This window comes from Homo sapiens, chromosome 7 (assembly GCF_000001405.40).
Source record: "Homo sapiens chromosome 7, GRCh38.p14 Primary Assembly".
Classification (NCBI taxonomy): Eukaryota; Metazoa; Chordata; class Mammalia; order Primates; family Hominidae; genus Homo; species Homo sapiens.
In genome coordinates, this window is record NC_000007.14 from 5,442,811 (window position 1) to 5,463,693 (window position 20,883).

At 54.2% G+C, this 20,883-nt stretch overlaps 1 protein-coding gene across 1 annotated transcript in view, besides 3 other annotated features; it reads right to left on the reverse strand.

The window, feature by feature from the left end:
- Window positions 2,901–3,733: an enhancer, noted in NCBI's record as "H3K4me1 hESC enhancer chr7:5485342-5486174 (GRCh37/hg19 assembly coordinates)". NCBI's record gives its function as "activates a minimal SCP1, AML or CMV promoter by ChIP-STARR-seq in primed H9 embryonic stem cells {active_cell/tissue: H9 hESC(primed)}" and the evidence as "EXISTENCE:reporter gene assay evidence [ECO:0000049][PMID:30033119]".
- Window positions 8,821–9,526: an enhancer, noted in NCBI's record as "H3K4me1 hESC enhancer chr7:5491262-5491967 (GRCh37/hg19 assembly coordinates)". NCBI's record gives its function as "activates a minimal SCP1, AML or CMV promoter by ChIP-STARR-seq in naive H9 embryonic stem cells {active_cell/tissue: H9 hESC(naive)}" and the evidence as "EXISTENCE:reporter gene assay evidence [ECO:0000049][PMID:30033119]".
- Window positions 11,615–20,883, reverse strand: part of FBXL18 (F-box and leucine rich repeat protein 18) — a 59,385-nt gene continuing 50,116 nt past the window's right edge. The window contains exon 5 of the mRNA NM_001363441.2: window positions 11,615–11,777. Within this exon, the coding sequence (NP_001350370.1) occupies window positions 11,690–11,777 (88 nt within the window). The 3' untranslated portion in view covers window positions 11,615–11,689. The remainder of the gene's footprint in view (window positions 11,778–20,883) is intronic.
- Window positions 12,895–13,395: an enhancer, noted in NCBI's record as "H3K4me1 hESC enhancer chr7:5495336-5495836 (GRCh37/hg19 assembly coordinates)". NCBI's record gives its function as "activates a minimal SCP1, AML or CMV promoter by ChIP-STARR-seq in naive H9 embryonic stem cells {active_cell/tissue: H9 hESC(naive)}" and the evidence as "EXISTENCE:reporter gene assay evidence [ECO:0000049][PMID:30033119]".

Sequence of the window (20,883 nt, forward strand, 5' to 3'; positions counted from 1 at the left end):
CCATGCAAAGTATCACTGGCAACCATAGCCTCGTACCTGAGCTGCCTCTGTTCCAGGGACACGTTCCGGAGCTGACACCCCTCCTCACCACCCGCCCTCGAGTCATGCTGCGCCACTGCCTCTGCCCCCCAGGATGCCCCGAGAGGGCACCTTCGACCTTCACTCCTGGGTGGGCCACATGGGTGTGGAGGCCAGACTGGCTTCACCCCTGCAGCGATCCGTCCACCTGGAGAGGGCACCTTGTGCGGTTTAATTTGGTTGCCATCATCCTGGAACCAGGCTGTCCCTGGAGACCTAATCCCTTCTGGGGATTTAAAAGAATCAAACTTGCCAAGGAAGACGTGAGCTTCTGGCCCCAGGCTCTGCCAGCTTCCCATTTTAATTGGGACCATTTTTAGCCCTCACCGGGAGGCTTCCGAAAACCCCCCAGGCATCTCCCTCGGGGCCCACAGGGGTGACGTGTGCCCACCCTATACCAGGAGCTCCCTACCCTCATCTCGGAGCCCCCAGCACCCACACCAGCTGCCCCTTCTATGGGTGGGGCTTTCAGCTCTAGAAGTAAAAGGGAGTTGCCCAAGGCAGACCTGAGCTCAGAGCCTGTGTCCTTGAGGGGCCCTTGGTGGGCAGCAGGTCCCCCTCCTCCCACCCAGAGCCCCCCCCTTCCATCCGGAAGTGTTGCCTACCACCGAGGCTACAAAACCCACATGCCAGTCCCTACTCAATGCCCCTAGGACCGACCGACCCGGCGTGCCCGGGAATGCCCCAGTTTTCTCACTGAACACCTTCCATCCAGGCACCCTCTCATCCCTGGGACGGTGGGTCACCCAGCCACCCACAGATAAGCACGGTAGGGGGTTGGAGGGTGTCCCCCGAAAAGACATGTCCACTGGAACCTCAGATAGGCTCTCACTGGGAATAACGGACTCTGCAGATGGAATTAAGGTAAGGCTCTCGAGATAAGCGTGCCTGATTAGAGTGAGCCCTAAATCCAATGACTCCCGTCCTTAAGAGACACAGAGCGCACTCCCACGTAACGAGTGCCTGACGGCCGGGACAGAGACTGCAGAGAAGCAGCAACGGGCCCAGGAGCGCCAAGCGTGGCCCGCAGCCACCAGAGGCTGGAGAGAGGCCTGGGAAGGATTCTCCGTGAGAGACTAGAGAAGGAGCCAACCCTGCCTGCACCTTGATCTGGGACTTCTGGCCTCCAGAGCTGTAAGACAATAGGTTTCTGCTGCTGAAGCCACCCAGCGTGTGGGCATTTGTAACCGCGGCACTAGGGAATGAACACAGTAGGTGGGCCAGGCACAGTGACTCACACCTGTAACCCCAGCACTTTGGGAGGCCGAGACAGGAGGATCACTTGAAGCCAGGAGTTCAAGACCAGCCTAGGCAACACGGCGAGACCCCATTTCTACATAATATTGAAAAATTAGCCAGGTGTGGTGGTGCACACCTGTAGTCCCAGCTACTCTGGAGGATGAGGTGGGAGGAGCACTGGAGCTCAGGAGTTGGAGACCAGCTTGGGCAACATAGCAAGACCCCTTCTTTACAAAATATTTAAAAACTAGCTGGGTGTGGTGGCATGCACCTGCAATCCCAGCTACTGAGGAGGCTCAGGCAGGAGGATCTCTTGAGCCTTGGAGTTCAAGGCTGCAGTGAGCCTTGATTGTGCCACTGTACTCCAGTCTGGGAGACACAGTGAGACCCTGTCTTTAAAAAAAAAAAAGGCCGGGCACGGTGGCTCACGCCTGTAATCCCAGCACTTTGGGAGGCCGAGGCAGGCAGATCACAAGGTCAGGAGATCGAGACCATCCTGGCTAACATGGTGAAACCCCGTCTCTACTAAAAATACAAAAAAATTAGCTGGGCGTGGTGGCGGGCACCTATAGTCCCGCTACTCAGGAGGCTGAGGCAGGAGAATGGCGTGAACCCAGGAGGCGGACCTTGCAGTGGGCCGAGATCGCGCCACTGCACTCCAGGCTGGGCGACAGAGCAAGACTCGGTCTCAAAAAAGAAAAAAAAAATGCTGGGCACATTGGCTCACGCCTGTAATTCCAGCACTTTGGGAGGCTGAGGCGGGTGCATCACTTGAGGTCAGGAGTTTGAGACAGCTTGGCCAACATGGTGAAACCCTGTCTCTGCTAAAAATACAAAAATTTGGCTAGGCACGGTGGCTCATGCTCGTAATCCCAGCACTATGGAAGGCCGAGGCAGGCAGATCATTTGAGGTCAGTAGCTCAAGACCAGCCTGGCCAACATGGTGAAACCCCATCTCTACTAAAAGTAAAAAAATTAGCTGGGCATGGTGGTGGACGCCTGTAATCCCAGCTACTTGGGAGGCTGAGGCAGAAGAATCGCTTGAACTCGGGAGGCAGCGGCTGCAGTGAGCCAAGATCACACCATTGCACTCCACCCTGGGTGACAGAGCGAGGTTCCATCTCAAAAAACAAAAACAAAAATTACCCAGGCGTGATGGCAGACACCTTTAGTCCCAGCTACTCGGGAGGCTGAGGCAGGAGAATCTCTTGAACCCGGGAGATGGAGGCTTCAGTGAGCCGAGATTGTGCCATTGCACTCCAGCCTGGGCGACAGAGCAACAGAGGGAGACTCCTTCTCAAAACAAAAACAACAACAACAACAACAAATAGTTGCATGTCAATTTTCCCATTGCAGGGGGTTGGATGATGTTCCCCCAAAACTTCCTGTCCACCTGTGACCTCAGAATGTGACCTTATTTGGAAACAGGATCTTTGCAGGTGTCATTGGTTAAGTATCTCAAGAGGAGATCATCCTGGGCTTAGGATGGGCCCTAAATCCAGTGACCGGTGTCCTTCCAAGAAAAGGAGGGGCGCCGGGCGGGCTGGTTCACACCTGTAATCCCACCGCTTTGGGAGGCCAAGGCGGGCGGATCATGAGGTCAGGAGATCGAGACCATCCTGGCTAACATGGTGAAACCCCGTCTCTACTAAAAACACAAAAAATTAGCCAGGCGTGGTGGCGGGTGCCTGTAGTCCCAGCTACTCGGGAGGCTGAGGCAGGAGAATCACTTGAACCTGGGAGGTGGAGGTTGCAGTGAGCTGAGATCATTCCATTGCACTCCAGCCTAGGTGACAGAGAGAAACTCCATCTCAAAAAAAAAACAAAGAAAAAAGAAAAGAAAAGGAGGGGACACAGGCACAGAGAAGGCCATGTGACGACGGAGACAGATGGGAGCGATGCAGCTACAGGCCTGGGAACACCGAGGATTTCTGGAGCCTCGGGAAGCTGCAGGGAGGGCTGGAACGGAGCCTCCCCGACGGCCTCCAGAAGCAGCCAGCCCTGCCCACACCTTGAGTTCGGACTGCTGGCCTCCAGCACTGTGCAAGAGCAAACTCCTGTCATTAGAAGCAACCTAGGCTGTGGCCACCCGCCCATCTCCCTAGGAGGTCTGGCTGCTCTTGGATACCCGGAGCCTCCTACCTCAGCTTGCTGGGCACTGACCTTGAGCGTTGCTCCCTCGACCTGCAGTGCTCCCTGCAGCGCCCCACCCCATGGGGGACACAGGAGGGGACTCTCAGAGCCGTCCCCCCGACAGGCCGAGGCTCCTCCCAGGAGAGGACCCCACTGCCCCGCCAGCACTGGACACTGGACACTGTTTTCCATAAACATTTCTTTGAACTGAATTTCATTCTTCTCACCCAAGAAATCTCTGGAAAACAATGCTGAGGCCAGGGTGGAGTGCCGGGGAGAGGGGATGTTTTAATGGTTTGTGGAGGGTTTTCTGTTTTGTTTTGTTTGTTTTTTTCTGGCATTGTCTCTCTCTTCTGATTTCCCTGTAACTGACAGGGAGGAAATGGATTCTGAAAATGGGTTCCTTCCCACCCCTGGGGGCTCTGAGATCAAAGTGTGGTGGGGCCGGGTGGACAGGACTTGGTGCTCCGAGGTGGGGTCCTTCCTGATTCCCTCCCACCTTCTCCACCATGCCCCCCTTTACCCAACGGGGCCTGGCCAGGAAGGGGCATACCAGGGGGCTATTCTGGGGGACAGGTCTCCAGGGCACCTGCCCTGCGTGCCCACCCAGTGAGGGGTTCCTGGCCCAGAGTTGCCCCCTCAGCATATCCCAGGGGGCTGGTGACCCTGTAGGCCCCTCCACTTTGCTAAAGAGGATACAGGGAGGGTTGGTGGCCCAGAACTCACGAACCACTGCTGACCAGGAATGGCCAAGGGAGGCCCACACAGAACACCCAATCCCACAGCCACCTGCTCTAGTACCACTTGGGGCCTCTCCAGCCACTGGCCTGGCTGCATTTGCTCTCCAAAACTGCCACTTTCTTTTAGTTTTTAAGGGACAGGCTCTTGCTCTGTCACTGAGGCTGGAGTCCAGTGGCACAATCATAGCTCACTGCAGCCTCAAACTCCCGGGCTCAAGCGATTCTCCCACCTCAGCCTCCTGAGTAGCTGGGACCACAGGCACACGCTACCACATTGGGTGTTTGGATGGATGAGTAGATGGGTGGATGGGTGGGTGGGTGGGTAGGTGGATCGGTGGGTGAATGAGTAGATGGGTGAGTGGATGGATGGATGGATGGATGAGTGTGTGGATGGATGGATGGATGGATGGATGGAGAAGTGGATAGATGAGTGAATGGATAGGTGGATGGGTGGGTAGATGGATGGACAGGTGGGTGGGTGGGTGGGTAGGTGAACGGAAGAGTGGGTGGATGGGTGAATGGATGGATGGATAGATAGATAGATAGATAGATAGATAGATAAACAGACAGACAGATAGGCTAATGGATGGATGAATTCGTGCTTTCTGTCCCTTGACCTGGTCTACAAGCCACTTCCCCAGCTAGACAAAGAGAGCTTAGAACCCCATCCCTGCCAGGAAACAGACAAAAGCTGTCGGGGTCTTTTTTCTCTCTCTCAGCCTTACCTGGGACACACAGAGCTTTACGGTGGGGCCTTGTTCCAGTTGCTGCAGGCTGCCATTCCTGAAGGTCGGGGGACAAGCTGCCTCTTCAACCCCAGCTCTGCTGGGGGCTCCTCAGCGGCTGGGGGAGTTGTGGGTGGGGCAGGAGACCTGGCGAGAAGCTCACGGGTACCCTCACCCACCTCATCCCGCCCTGTGCCCAGCCCTGACCCCAGCCCTCCCTCTTTGTACCTCACCCCGTGGAAGGAAACACACTGAAGGTGGGGAGGGGTGGGCCAGAGCCTCAGACTCCTAAGACAAAGGGAGAAAAATGGACCGAAGAGAGGCAGGGGGTAGACGCAGGCACTGCCTTTTTTCTTTTGTAGACAGGGTCTCACTCTTGTTCAGGCTGGAGTGCAGGGCGCCATCATAGCTCACCACAGCCTCCAACTACTGGGCTCAAGTGATCCTGCCTCAGCCTCCAAAGTAGCTGGGACGACAGGCATGCATCACCATGCTTGGCCAATTTTTGTATTTTTTGTACAGATGGGGTCTCACTCTGTTGCCCAGGCTGATCTTGAACTCCTGGCCTCCAGTGATCCTCCTCAGCCTCCCAAATCTTGGGGATTACAGGCATGAGCCACCACCCCCAGCCTTATTTCCTGACATTTCTATGGTAAAATTGATTGCTTTTATAATCAGAAAAAATATACAGTGAGACTTAAAGACACGGTCTGTAACCTTGAGAGGCCAAAACAGCCCGCAGAGGGACAGGCGACTGGCCATTTTGATGCTAGGGCCCCAGGCACGAAGCAGGCAAGTCCCCCCTCCCCACTTTGGCCGGCGAGACTTTGAAAAGAAAGCTGGACGTGCAGGAGCAGGGGTTGGGAAGGGGAATTCCAGGAAGGGGCCTGGGACTGGGGCCCTGGAACCATGGTGGCCCCCCAGGCCAGATCCACCCCTGGACAGGTGCAAGGACTCTGGGAGCGGCCCCAAGGATCCAAATACCTTCCTCAGCAGCCCCTTTAATTTGCTTTCTGCAGAAAGTAAGCTAATGCCGGCAGCGGAGACTTCATTTAGGAGAAGAGCAGGCCTCGGCATATCCCTAGCATTGGCAGCATTCCTGGGAGGAGAGGAGGGGAAGGCTGGGGAGGGGAGGGAGACTGGGCTAGAGGGAGCCCGCAGATTCACCTAATTCCAGGGTGGAATTGCTCGCCAGCCACCGTGCCCTCCATCATTCTCCAGAGGCCCCACCTAGTTTCCTCATTCATCAGTCACCAGGCCTTGTCCTATGGCCCAGCCGGGGGGAGATGTCAAGGCCAGGGACCCCTCTGAGGCTCAGAGAGGGGTGCGTAGCAGGAGCAGTAAAGCCAGGACTGGGCACGGTGGCTCACACCTGTGATCCCAGCACTTAGAGAGACAGAGGCAGGAGGATCGCTTGAAGCCAGGAGTTCAAGACCAACATGGTGAGACCTCTGTCTCTGCCAAAAAAAAAAAAAAAGTACATATATATACACACGTATATATATATACGTGTGTATATATATACGTGTATATATATACGTGTGTATATATATACGTGTATATATATACGTGTGTATATATATACGTGTATATATATACGTGTGTATATATATACGTGTATATATATACGTGTGTATATATATACGTGTATATATATACGTGTGTATATATATACGTGTATATATATACGTGTGTATATATATACGTGTATATATATACGTGTATATATATACGTGTGTATATATGTATATATATACAAATTTTTTAAAAGCCAGGACCTGCCTGGCCCAAGCTTCCTCCCTGGGGCCTCAGTAGATGGTTCTAGACAGTGGAATTCGTGTTCTAGGCCTGGGGCTCTGACCTCAGAGGCCCTGTCAGGAGATTCAAACCAAGAAGTGAAATGCAGTGAAATTCAGACTTGTGCCTCTGTATACGCCGCGGACACGTGTGTGCAAAGGCGTGTGCATGTGCGTGTGCCTTGCTTCCTGGGTCAAAGTGGCTTCTGATCCAGAGATACTTTGAAGTTCCTTTTTTTTTTTTTTTTTTTTTTAGAGAGAGGGTCTTGCTCTGTCACCCAGGCTGGAGTGCAGTGGCGCGATCACAGCTCACTGCAGCCTCAAACTCCTAGATTCAGGCAATCCTCCTGCCTCAGCCTCGCAAGTAGCTGGGATCGAAAGCGTGCGTCACCACACCTGGCTAATTTTTAAATTTTTTCTAGAGACAGAGTCTGGCTATGTTGCCCAGGCTGGTCTTGAACTCCTGGCCTGAAGCAACCTTCTGCCTCAGCCTCCCAGGTATCTGGGACTGCAGATGTGCACCACCATCCCCAGCTAATTTTTAAATTTTTTCTAGAGATAGAGTCTGGCTATGTTGCACAGGCTAGTCCTGAACTCCTGGCCTCAAGCAGTCTTCCCACCTTGGCCTCCCAAAAAGCTGGGTTTAGGCGAGGCACGGTGGCTCACGCCTGTAATCCCAGCACTTTGGGAGGCCAAGGCAGGCAGATCACTTGAGGTCAGGAGTTTGGGGCCAGCCTGGCCAACATGGTGAAACCCTGTCTCTACTAAAAATACAAAAAATAGCCAGGCATGGTGGTGTGCGCCTGTAATCCCAGCTACTCGGGAGGCTGAGGTAGGAGAATTGCTTGAACCTGGGAGGCGGAGGTTGCAGTGAGCCAAGATCGTGCCACTGTACTCTAGCCTGGGCGACAGAGCGAGCCTCCGTCTCAAAAAAATAAAACAAAATAAAAGGTTGGGTTTATAGGCATGAGCCACTGCACCTGGCCACTTCTAAGTCTTACTGGTTCCCTGCTCTGGGCAAGGCCTGGGCACAATTTTACAGACGGGGAAAATGAGGCCCAGGATCCCACGGTGGTAGAACCGGCTTCTCACAGGCCTGCCGACTGGAAACTCCTCACAGGGTTCCCCCTGAGCCAACATCCCCCTCCCGTGATCCCAACCAGAGCTCCTTGCTGTCCTGGGCTGTGTCCCCAATGGCGGGGCTGTGTCTCCGGCTCCTGGCCTAGGTGGCTCTGAGGGCACCTCTCTGGGCCTGGTCTGGCTGGAGGGGGCCCCAGGAGAGGGTCCCACAGGCGCCCCCCACCAGTCCGCGCCTGCTCCTTCCAGATTCTGCAGGCTCTGGTGACACCTGCTGGCCACGCATCCCATCACCATAGCAACCCAGGCTGGGCCTCTCAGCCCCCAGCAAGGCTGGGATGGGTGGGTTCACCCAGGCTGGAGGGTGGGGGGTGTGGAGGCACTGGGGGCGGAGCACACCCGCCTGACCCACCATCTTCTTTCCTCATGGGAAACTCTCAGCCCCAGGAAACTCCTGTGCCCGGCTTAGGTCCCCTCCTACTCTCTCCCCTTCTCCTGTCCAACGGCTCCGAGAGCTTGGAGTTCTCACCCAGCCCCCAGTCAGTGACTCCAGCTGAGACATCACCTCCCCGCAGGCCTTCAAGGTTCCCATCTCAGACACAACGACTCCACCCCCACTGTGTGGGGCCCCAGGCCTCAGCTCAGAGGGGCCCCACCTCCCGCCACCCCCCTCCAGCTCCTCTGGGTCCCTCTGCTCAGTCCCCCTGGCCTGTGTCCACTTCACCCCAAGTCCTTCACCATGCCCTGAACGGAGCCTATCTCCCGTCACCCGGACAGTCACCTGTCACCTTGGCGCTGTCACAGCTCAGCCCCATCCCCAGCTTCTCTGTGGCCCCCACAGACTCAGCAGGCTTTCGCAGACACACAGACACCTGTCCTGCCCGCGCTGTGCCTCAGGGAGAGGCGCAGGTCCCACCAAGCTGCACTGCCAGCCCCATAAACGGCCCTGCGGTTCCCACCCGGGGGCTCTGCACCTGCGGCTCCCTCCCCAGAATGCTTTTTCCAGCTTCCTCAGTCTTGCTAACAGTGATTCAGCCAAGCCTTCCAGAACATTCCGCCGGCTGTGACCTCCCCAAACCCTGCTCTGTGTTCCTCACACTGTCATGGCCTGGGGACTGTCCCATCCCAGCCAGGCCTCCTCCGTGGTGCTGCCATGATTTCAGGATCCCCACGTGTCCAGGGCTGAGCCCAGGGCCGACCTAGGAGGTGTCTGCTGCCCTGATCCTCTTGACCCTCCCACTCCAGGCCCCAGTCCCACCCCAGGAGGGTCCTCCCCATCCCCACTCTCCCCTCCTCCCAGGGTCTGCAGGGAGCAGCTGGGCCACCACTTTGCCCAGAGGCAGTCCTGGGGCACAACCTGAGCCCACGTACCCAGCGTGGCACAGCCAGGGACGCAGTGCACAGGAGAGGGCTTAAGGGACCTCCCTGGAGACCCCCAAGTGGCTCCTCGAGTGACGGGGGCTGGTCATGGACGTTGAACCACCTGGAGGGAGGCTGTGTGGAGAGGCCGAGCTCAAGAGACAGAGCCTTGGTCCTCCTGCCTGCCCCAGGGTGGCCTGTGGTCCTGGGCTGGCCACCACCTCTCGGGGCCTCAGTCTCCCCATCTGCACTGGAGCGGGTGGGCACACTTGACCCCATGGCTTGGCAATGCCTGGCCACACTGCAGGGGCCGAGGGGGTGGCCAGCCCTGCCCCTGATGCCCACCACACCCTAGGGACGGCTCAGAGCCCAGCCGCTCCTGGGGGCCTGGTCTATGCCTGTCCCTGGCCCCACACCCCGCAGTCTGGTGGCAGCTGCTGCACCCGCACCTGGAATGTCCCTGAAATCCCCAAACCTCAGCTGACCCCATGGGGGAAAGAGGGCTGGAACCTGCCCCCCTCTCCTCCCCTCCAAGGTGCAGACCCACCCTGTCCCCACACAGAGGGCACACTGAGTGCCCTGCCCCGCCCCGCTCTGCCCAGAGAGGCCGGAACATCAGGGGAGCTTGGGCCAGTCTGGCCACGCCTTGGAAATAGTGGCCACGCATCAGCCCGGGGAGGCCCCAGGCCTGGTCAGCCTCCAGGTCCTGCCCGCCAGGCTCAGCTTCCCGGCCCTCCCGCCTCCTCTCCCCGCTCCGGTTAATCTGTCAGTTCCATCTGTCTCTGTCTTGTTTGTCTCTCTATCTCTGTCTCAGTCTGTCTCGATCTCTGTCTCTGCCTTGCTATCTCTGTCTCCATCTGCCTCTCTCTCTGTCTCTGCCTATTTGTCTGTCTCTGTCTCTCCATCTCTCTCTCTCTTTATTTTTAAAATTTTCTTTTATATAGAGACAGAGTCTTGCTGTGTTGCCCAGGCTGGTCTTCAACTCCTGGGCTCCAGTGATCCTCCAGCCTTGGGCTCCCTAAGTGCTGGGATTACAGGTGTGAACCACCGTGCCCAGCCAAGAAACATCTCTAAACCCCTCTCTTCCTCCCAGCAGTGACTGTGAAGGGCACTGGGGACAAATCCCTTTTTGAAAGGATCTTCTGGATGATGTCATGGATTTGGGCCTCTTCCTGCTGGGGGTCACTGGGTGGTACTTCTTGGCCATCCAGCCAATAGCAACAGGCCAGCATGTGATGACGTCACTGTCACCCCCACTGTCTCCTCGGGTTCCAAGGAGCAAGAGGCTTGCACCATTCCTCTCTAATCTGAGATGGATTTTGTGGGTTTGCGTGGGGGGAAGGTTTTGTTTTTTTTTTTTTTAGCAAGAATCTTCTTAAGCCATACACCCATCTCATTAGGATTAGTTTTGTTAATCTATAGATCCACTTATTCGGCCGCACGCCAGCCTCCGAGTGTCCCAAACACGAAGTCAAAGGGTGAGCAGAGCACCTCGGGCCGGCCCTCCTCCCCTGGGAGGATCCACCTCTCCCATGGGACAGGGACAGCTACGACTTTCGGCGGCTCCCTTCTAGGCACTGTTCCAAGCATCTCATGGACTGTTCTGTGTCTCCTCCCAAAGGAGGAGGGGGAAACTGAGGCCTCAGGAAAGGGGCAGCTTGCACAGAGCCATACAGCCGGGGCCTCAGATAAATGTGATTGCTCCAGATCCCTACCAGCACAAGTCAGGCAAATCTGTACATTCAATGTTAGCAAAGTTTGGTTGGTTGGTTGGTTGTTTTTTAGAGAGAGGGTCTCACTGTGTTGCCCAGGCTAGTCTTGAACTCGAGCTCAAGTGATCCTCCTGCCTCAGCCTCCAAAGTGCTGGGATTACAGGCATGAGCCACTGCTACTGGCCTGCAAAGTTTTTGTTTGTTTGGTTTGAGAGTCTTGCTTTGTCACCCAGGCTGGAGAACAGTGGCACAATCATGATTCACTGCAGCCTCCACTTCCTGGGCTCAAGCGATCCTTCTGCCTCAGCCTCCCAAGTAGCTGGGACTGCAGGCATGCACCACTACACCCGGCTAATTTATTTATTTATTTATTTTTTTTGAGACGGAGTTTTGCTCTTTTGCCCAGGCTGGAGTGCAGTGGCACAATCTCAGCTCACTGCAACCTCTGCCTTCCAGGTTCAAGCGATTCTCCTGCCTCAGCCTCCTGAGTAGCTGGGATTACAGGTGCCTGCCACCAAACCTGGCTAATTTTTGTATTACTATTAAAGATGGGGTTTCACCGTGTTGGCCAGGCTGGTCTCGAACTCCTGACCTCATGATCCACCTGCCTCCGCCTCCCAAAGTGCTGGGATTACTGGTGTGAGCCACGGTGCCGAGCCACATCCGGCTAATTTTTTAAGATTTCTGATTATTGTAGAGATGGGGTCTCACTATGTTGCCCTGGCTGGTCTTGAACTCTTCCTGGCCACAAGTGATCCTCCTGCCTCGGCTGTTTTATTCTTATTTTATAGAAAAGAATAACTTAAAAAGAAAGTGTTATTTTTTTTTTCTCACGTGAGTAAATGATCTTGTGCATCCACTCCAGAGGCCACTGGATTAGTATCAGTTTGATGTCTTGTTACCCATCCAGACTGATTTCTGAGAAGCAGGAGGAAAGAAATGAGTTCCTCAATGAGTGAAAAGAAAGAACCTCATTTTACAGATGGGGCCCTGAGTGAGGCTCAGAGAGGTTCAGGAAGCTGCCCCAGGGCACACAGCGAGGGAGCAACAGAGCCTGGGAGCCGAGGACAGGGACACCCTCCAGCCTGCAGGGCCCCATCAGCACCCAGGTTGCAGAGTGGGGACTCACGGAGGAGAAGGCGTCCCCAGGGCATAAGACGCCTCCCCCACTGCCCATCAGCGCAGATGGCCACCCGAGCTGCCAGTGAGAGAGGACGCGCTGCTTGGCTAAGCCGCTGTTGTTTGGGATTTTCTATCTCTCGAATCCTAAAGGGTAGAGTTTGCTTACCAATGCCGCCCTCACCCCTACAGTTGGGGAAACCAGAGCCTGGAGGGTGGTGCTCTAAGAGTGATCCCAGTCACACTGGCACTCCGAGTGCCACCTTCCACGCCGTCACTTTAGGAGTTTGCTGTGAGGTTAGCCTCATCAGCAAACTCGAGGCTGGCTTCCTATCCTCTTGCTCAGGGAGCAACCCTGGCACTACTGGGGAGGACTCTTGGGGATTATCTTGAGAGCACTCTCAGAGGAGCACTCCAAGGAGTACTCTTTGGGAGCATATCTGGGGAGCACTCTTGGGGGGGAACATATCTGGGGAGCAGTATCGGGAGCACCTGCAGGGAGTATTCTCGGGCATATGCTTGGGTAGCACTCTCAAGGAGCACTCAGGGCACATACTTGAACATTCTCAGGCCACATACTTGGGGAGCACCCTCAGGGAAGTACTCTAGGGAGTACTCTTGGGGAGCCTATCTGGGGAGTAGCATCAAGGAGCACTCTCGTGGGAGCACTACCTTAGTCTCCTTGCTCGCCACTGGCTTCACTGGCGTCAGAAGCAATTCCACAAGCCCAGCCCCTCCTGTCCTCCCTGATTCCCCACAGGACAGTGCCATCCCCTCGGTGGGAATGGGCTCCTATTATGGGTTTGCATTCCCATGGCGCCAAGTCGGTCCTGAGAAGATCCTCCGGGATTGCTGACCATCCACTTCCCCGCAGGGGGGCTCAAACCCAGGCTGTGAATTCGGGGAAGTGGGAAACAGAACTTTTTGGATGTCCCTAGATGGTGCCTCCCCCCCACCCCCACTACACACACACAAACACACACACACACACACACACACCACTTCCATGGCGCCAGGAGAGAGTTTGGTCCTTCAGCAAGATCACACTCTTCTCCATATGACCCCAGCCAATGAGCGGGCGAGACCTGGCCATCTCTGCCCCATGCGGGACTCTCTCATGGGCCGTGCTGGCTCCAGCATCGCAGTCTAACAGCTCCCTGCCGCATTTCGTTCCCTCTGTGCTCCTTCCCCAGTGTCACTCCTCCTTCAAACCCCAAGAACCCGTTTGCCCTCCGCAGTCCTTCTCAGCATCTGCTTCCTGAACGACCCAACCTCCGTTCTGCACTGGCCCGGTCACCCCACCGAAACTGGCAACTCCTGCTCCCACCTAACGTCATCATGGGACCTAAAAGCAGACCAGTCCCCACTGCTGTCCTCCCCGAGGCTCAGCTCTGCCCAGGAACCCGCTGCCTGCTCCCATCCCTGGTCCTTTAGGCCCATGGCATCTGCTCTCTCGGGACAGTGCTCCCCCTGCACCAGTCAGCCTGCCCTGGGCTCTCAGGAGGCAAAGCCAGCCATCCCTCAGTTTCCACTTCACCCCTTCCCAAGGCAGTGAGCTTGGGGGCAGCTCGAATCAGTGGGAGGACAAACCAAGGGGGATCTCAAACTCATCACGATGTGCTCGCACAGAAACCCCTCATCTCACGCGGTCAATTACAAACCCTGGGAAGTGGGGACAGGCGAGGCCCAAGGGGCCCTGAGAGCAGGGAGGCAGAGCCTGAGGGCAGATTCTCTGAATCCTGAAGAATAAGCAGAAGCAGCAAACTCAGCAAGGTGGGGGGGCTCCAGGCAGAGGGAACAGCTTGTGCAAAGGCCCTGGGGCAGGCCAAGGGCAGAGAACTTAAGGTATGGAAAAAAAAAAAAAAAGGCATGGAAAGGAGGCCAGCATGGCTAGGAGCAGAGAACAGAGAAGGGAGGTTGGGAGGTGAGAAGGGATGGCCCTGGGTGCTGAGACTCAGAACAGAATGGGCCAGTCCCCTTTTTTTGTTTGTTTGAGACAGAGTCTTGTTCTGTCATCCAGGTTGGAGTGCAGTGGTGCAATCTCGGCTCACTGCAACCTCCATCTCCTTGGTTCAAGTGATTCTCCCACCTCAGCCTCCCAAGTAGCTGGGATTACAGGTGCACGCCACCATGCCTAGCTAATTTTTGTGTTTTTAGTAGAGATTGAAATTCACCATGTTGGCCAGGCTGGTCTCAAACTCCTGTCCTCAAGTGATCCACCTGCCTTGGCATCCCAAAGTGCTGGGATTACAGACGTGAGCCACTGCACCTGGCCTAGGGCTGTCCCCTCTAAGAACACACAGACTTGTGGGTGATGGTCAGAGGACAGCTCAGATGAGCTCAGCTCAGGTCAGTTCCACAGGAGTCACTATACTACATTTTACAAAGGGATTGGGGGGACTCTGTGAGCACCACAAAATTCGATCTGTCCCATTCTGTGGCAGCTGTGTGGTGTGGGTGCCACAGAATGGGTGACTACTCTAAGCAAATCAAGGTGCTCTCATTCCCCTGGTCAGAGCAATTGGTTCAGTAGTAGGAATAAACAAGGAATCCCACAGCCCAGCTGGCTGGCAGCTATCCTAAACTGAGTCCTTAGAGATGTAAGCTGCTGGATCAAGCTCGACCTGAAGCCTACCCTACCACTGCACATTTTCCATCACACCAAATTCCCTGCATTGTGAAGCTGTTTCGAGCTAGGTTTTTTATTATTTGCTACCAAACACATCCTGCAACAGGTGGTGGGAGTGAGTTCCTGCAGAAACTCAATGGAGCATTAAGGCCACCTCGGAAGCCATACACAGCAGTCTCCAGAGGGCAGCAAGCTAGAGAATGACTCTGCAGTGTCAGGGAGGGTCAAGCTGTATTTTAAAAAGCAACGGAAGGCTTGGGAAATGCAGCTTTTAGATAGCAAAGGTCTGTGGTGCCCCAAGTGGCCCCCATCAGCCAGGAGTGGGTGTTTTGGAGGGAGGAGGTGGCTGGCCTGGGGAATGGGTCCAGGCCTCCCAGTTCACCAGATCTCCAGGCCACGTTATGGCGGAAGGCCATCCCTATCGCTGTGCCTGGCTGGCCTGGGCCCACAGCCTGCCTCGCCGGGGAAAGGAACCCCTGCCACGACGGAGCAACTATTCAATTCTCTCAGCGAGAGCGCTGCCAGCTTCCTCACTCACACAGCCCAGCTGGAGAACTGCCCACAAGTTAAAAAATATTTCTTTCCAGCAGACATTGCTCCGGCGGATTCAAGCCTTATCTTTCTCTTCCAGAGGAGAATTGTTCATTTCACTTCCTTAAAAAAAAAAAACAACCCCAAAACCTTAAACCACAAACTGAAAAGCAGGTGGGACCGTTTCAGGATTTGGCTGAAGTTTGTCTCAGAGCTGATAAGGGACAGTCAGTTGTTTCTGGGCAACACAGCAGCGAACGGGCAGGGAGACGGGTCCACACTGTCCGTCAATAAAACCACCCCCCAAGGCCTTGCTCTGTATAGAGAGGTTTCTGGCCACCCACAGTGGCTCACGCCTGTAATCCCAGCATTTTGGGAGGCCAAGGCGAGTGGATCGCTTGAGGTCAGGAGTTCGAGACCAACCTGGCCAACATGGTGAAACCCCGTCTCTACTAAAAATACAAAAATTGGCCGGGCGTGGTGGCTGATGCCTGTAATCCCAGCACTTTGGGAGGCTGCGGCGGGCGGATCACGAGATCACGAGTTCGAGACCAGCCTGATCTACATGATGAAACTCCGTCTCTACTAAAAATACAAAAATTAGCCAGGCATTGTGGCGTCCACCTGTAATCCGAGCTACTCAAGAGGCTGAGGCAGGAGTATCGCTTAACTCGGGAGGCAGAGGTTGCAGTGAGCCAAGATTGCGCCACTGCACTCCAGCCTGGGCAACACAGCGAGACTCCGTCCCCCAAAAAAAAAAAAATTAGCTGGGCGTGGTGGCACATGCCTATAGTCCCAGCTACTTTGGAGGCTGAGGCATGAGAATCACTTGAACCCGGAGGCAAACAATGTCTTAACAGAGCAGAAATGTCAACGCTGGCTGCTGGGTTGGCAGGGCATTTTGAAAGCAAGTGTGGGCTGGATGTGGTGGCTGACAGCTGTAATCCCAGCACTTTGGGAAGCCAAGTTGGGAGGATTGGTTGAGCCCAGGAGTTTGAGACCAGCCTGGGCAACATAGTAAGACCCCTCCACCCACAGCCCATCTCTACAAAAAATTAACTGGGCATGGTGGTATGTACCTATAGTCACAGCTACTGAGGAAGCTGAGGGTAGAGGACTGCCTGAGGCCAGGAAGTCGAGGCTGCAGTGAGACATGATCATGCCATTGCACTCCAGTCTGGATGATAGAGCAAGACACTGTCTCAAGAAAGAAAAAAACAGAAAGAGAAGAAAAGAAAACAAACGTGTGACCTACTCCAGAACTCAGGCCGGCGGTAGGATTTTACCAGACACAGGTCTGCAGAGATGGACCACAGGGCCCTGGCCTTGGCTCAGCCCCAGTACAGTAAGTAATCAATAAATAGCACAAGGGGGCCGGGCGTGGTGGTTCATGCCTGCAAGCCCAGCACTTTGGGAGGCCAAGGCGGGTGGATCACCCGAGGTCAGGAGTTTGAGATCAGCCTGACCAACATGGTGAAACTCCATCTCTATTAAAAACACAAAAAATGCTGGCTGGGCACGGTGGCTCACACCTGTAATCCCAGCACACTGGGCGGCCGAGGCAGGTGGAACACGAGGTCAGGAGATCAAGACCATCCTGGCTAACATGGTGAAACCCCGTCTCTACTAAAAATACAAAAAATTAGCCAGGCGTGGTAGCAGGCGCCTGTAGTCCCAGCTACTCAGGAGGCTGAGGCAGGAGAATGGCGTGAACCTGGGAGGCAGAGCTTGCAGTGAGCAGAGATTGTGCCACTGCACTCCAGCCTGGGCAACAGAGTGAGACTCCATCTCAAAAAAAAAAAAAAATACAAAAAATTAGCTGGGCATGGTGGTGTGCACCTGTAATCCCAGCTACTCGGGAGGATGAGGCAGGAGAATCACTTGGGCCCAGGAGGCAGAGGCTGCCGTGAGCTGAGATCACGCTGTCGTACTCCAGCCTGGGCAGCAGAGTGAGACTCTGTCTCTAAATAAATAAATAAATAAATGGCACAAGGGCATAGCAGTCACCTGATGAGTCACGCAGCCTTTTGGCCAGGCACAGTGGCTCGTGCCTGTAATCCCAACACTTTGGGAGGCTGAGGCGGAAGGCTTGCTTGAGGCCAGGAGTTCAAGACCAGCCTAGGCAACATAGTGAGACCCCATCTCTACAAAAAAAATAAGCCAAGTGTTGTGGTGCATGCCTGTAATATCACATACTTGGGAGGCTGAGGCAGGAGAATCACTTGAACCTGGGAGGTGGAGGTTGCAGTGAGCCAAGATCGCACTTCAGCCTGGGCGACAGAGTGAGTGAGACTCGGTCTCCAAAAAAACAAACAAACAAAAAGACAGTGCCTGACACATAGTGAAATAGGGCTACTATTAATTGTTAGACATTGTGAAATTTAATATAATCATGAAACACTCTGCAAATACAAAGGCCAATAGTTGAAGACACAGAGATACCATGAGTCTGTCATTACCACGCCCCTTCCTCCCCCTCCCTCAAATAATGCCTCAATTCATAACTTTGTTATTTTGTTTTTTGAGACAGGTTCTCGCTCTGTCACCCAGGCTGGAGTGCAATGGTGCGATCTCCGCTCACCGCAACCTCTGCCTTCTGGGTTCAAGTGATTCTCATGCCTCAACCTCCCGAGCAGCTGGGGTTACCGGCATGTGCCACGACACCAGCTAATTTTTGTATTTTTAGTAGAGATGGGGTTTCACCATGTTGGCCAGGCTGGTCTTGAACTCCTGACCCCAAGCGATCTGCCCACCTCGGCCTCCCAAAGCCCTGGGATTACAGCCGTGAGCCACCATGCCCAGACTCAGGCCTAATCTGATGGCAGAGGCTTGGGACGTGCACCCGGGCCTCCATCCCAAGCCCGGCCTCGCTATCTGCACATTGCCGCCCCTCTGCAGCCCCGAAACATTTGTTCCACCAGCTGCAAGGGCGTTCTCACCTCCCTTCATCCCTCACCATATTTTTTTGTTTTGTGGAAGCTGCACAGTTCTGAAGTAATCGTGCTACTGGGAAACAGGGCTGAGAGTCTCGTTTGTTCAAAGAAAATCTTTTCCTTCCACGCACAAGTGCTGTGTTTGCACCATAAATTGCCTTCTGCATTAGGTCCCCGCCAGCCTTTCTCCTGGTGTCCTGGTGCCCAACCCTCCCCGAAGGGCTCCAGTCCTGCACTCTCGGGGTGGCAGGTGGCTGCAAACACAGCCGGACCTGAGCCCAGCTCAGCAGCTCAGGGATAGGTCAGGGAATAACAAGGGCAGGAGTTCACATTTATTGAGCACCTACTATGTGCTGGGCACTGCACTGGGCACTTCCTTAATCGGCTGCATTTTCTTCCTTCCAGCCAGGCACGGTGGCTTCTACCTGTAATCCCAGCGCTTTGGCAGGCTGAGGCCAGAGGATCGCTTGAGCCCAGGAGTTCCAGACCAGCCTGGGCAACATACTCGGTTGATACAAAAGTAATTGTGATTTTTGCCATTAAAAGTAATGGCAAGAACCACCTTTACTTTTGCACCAACCTAATTACAAGACGCCATCCCTACAAATTTAAATTACCAGGTGTGGTGGTGAGTGCCTGTAGTCCAAGCTACTTGGGAGGCTGAAGTGGGAGGATTGCTTACACCCAGGAGGTCAAGGCTGCAGTGAGTTATGATCGTGCCACTACACTCTGGCCTGGGCAACAGAGCAAAACTCTGTCTCTAAAAGAAACAAAATTGGCCAGGCGCAGTGGCTCATGCCTGTAATCCCAGCACTTTGGGAGGCCAAGGCGGGCAGATCACCTGAGGTCAGGAGTTTGAGACCAGCCTGGCCAATATGGTGAAACCCTGTCTCTACTAAAAATACAAAAATTGGCCAGGCATGATGGCGGGCGCCTGTAGTCCCAGCTACTCGAGAGGCTGAGGCAGGAGAATCACTTGAGCTTGGGAGGCAGAGGTTGCAGTGAGCCGAGATCATGCCACTGCACTCCAGCCTGGGAGACAGTGCAAGACTCCGTCTCAAAAGAAAGAAAAAAAAGAAACAAAATCAGCTGGGCACAGTGGTTCACTCCTGTAATCCCAGCACTATGAGGGACTGAATCACCTGAGGTCGAGTTCGAGACTAGCCTGGCCAACACAGTGAAGCCCCGTCTACTAAAATTAGCTGGCATGGTAGCACACACCTGTAATCCTAGCTACTCAGGAGGCTGAGGCAGGAGAATGGCTTGAACCCAGGAGGTGGAGGCTGCAGTGACCCAAGATCGCACCACTGCACTCCAGCCTGGGCAACAGAGTGAGACTCTGTCTCCAAAAAAGATAAAAGAAAAGAAACAAAATCCTCACAGAACGCCGTGAGGTGGGCCCATCCATCATTATCTCATTTTACAGAGAAAAAATGAAAGTATTCACTTGCCCGAGGCCGGTACAGGAAGCCAGGCATTACCTACCCCACTGTGGGTACCCACTGGTACGTTGGGAGATGAATTCATCTCCTGTTGGCACGCATTTCCTTTTTACATAAAATTACATAAAACAGAATCAGTCACTATGTCACAAGCCATGGCAGAGGGAGGCCCCGGGCTGGGTCAGGCGTTGCAGGCAGTACCCAGCTCGCCATGGATTGTGGCCAAATGAGGTTGAGAGACGATGTTTTCACCTGCAGCTCTCAAATGCTTGCTCTCAGGAATCTCCACTCTCTTACTGGGGACCCAGCCGCAAATGACATCTTAATAACAATATGAAAATAATTTTGCCAGATGCAGTGGCTCATGCCTGTAATCCCAGCACTTTGGGAGGCCGAGGCGGATGGATCACGAGGTCAGGAGATTCAGACCACCCTGGCTAACATGGTGAAACCCTATCTCTACTAAAAATACAAAAAATTAGCCAGGTGTGGTGGCGGGCGCCTATAGTCCCAGCTACTCGGGAGGCTGAGGCAGGAGAATGGTGTGAACCCAGGAGGCGGAGCTTGCAGTGAGCCAAGATCGCGCCACTGCACTCCAGCCTGGGCGACAGAGTGAGACTTGGTCTCAAAAAAAAAAAAAAAAAAAATATATATATATATATATATATATATAATATATATACACACACACATGCATAAATGACCAGTGAGCACATGCAAAGAAGCCCAACCTTATTAACCATCAGGGAAATACAAATCAAAAGTATCATGAGATACTACCACCTCACATCTACTAAGATGCCTGTAATCAAACAGACAGAAAACAGCAAGTGTTGGCAAGCACATGAAGATATTGGAACCCTCAAATATTGCTGGTGGGAATATAAAATGGTGCAGCTGCTGAGGAGAACAGGTTGGCATTTCCTGAAAATGTTGCCGTATGACTTAGCAATTTTACTTCTAGTATATATCCAAGAGAATTGAAAACACGTCCACCTAAGAATTTGGCCATGAGGGCTGGGGCAGTGGCTCAGGCCTGTAATTCCAGCGCCTTGGGAGGTCAAGGCAGGAGGATCACTTGAGGCCAGGAGCTCCACATCAGCCTGGGCAACATAACAAGACCTCATCTCCACAAAATATTTAAAATTAGATGGGTGTGGTGGTGCATGCTTGCAGTCCCAGCTACTTGGGAGGCTGAGGCAGGAGGATTGCTTGAGCCCAGGAGGTCAAGGCTGTAGTGAACCACGATTGTGCCACGGCACTCCCTCCTGGGTGACAGGGTGAGACCCTGTGTCAAAACAGAAAAAAAAAAGTTTTGGAATGGATGGTGGTGATGATTGCACAACATAAATGTGCTTCATGCCCCTGAA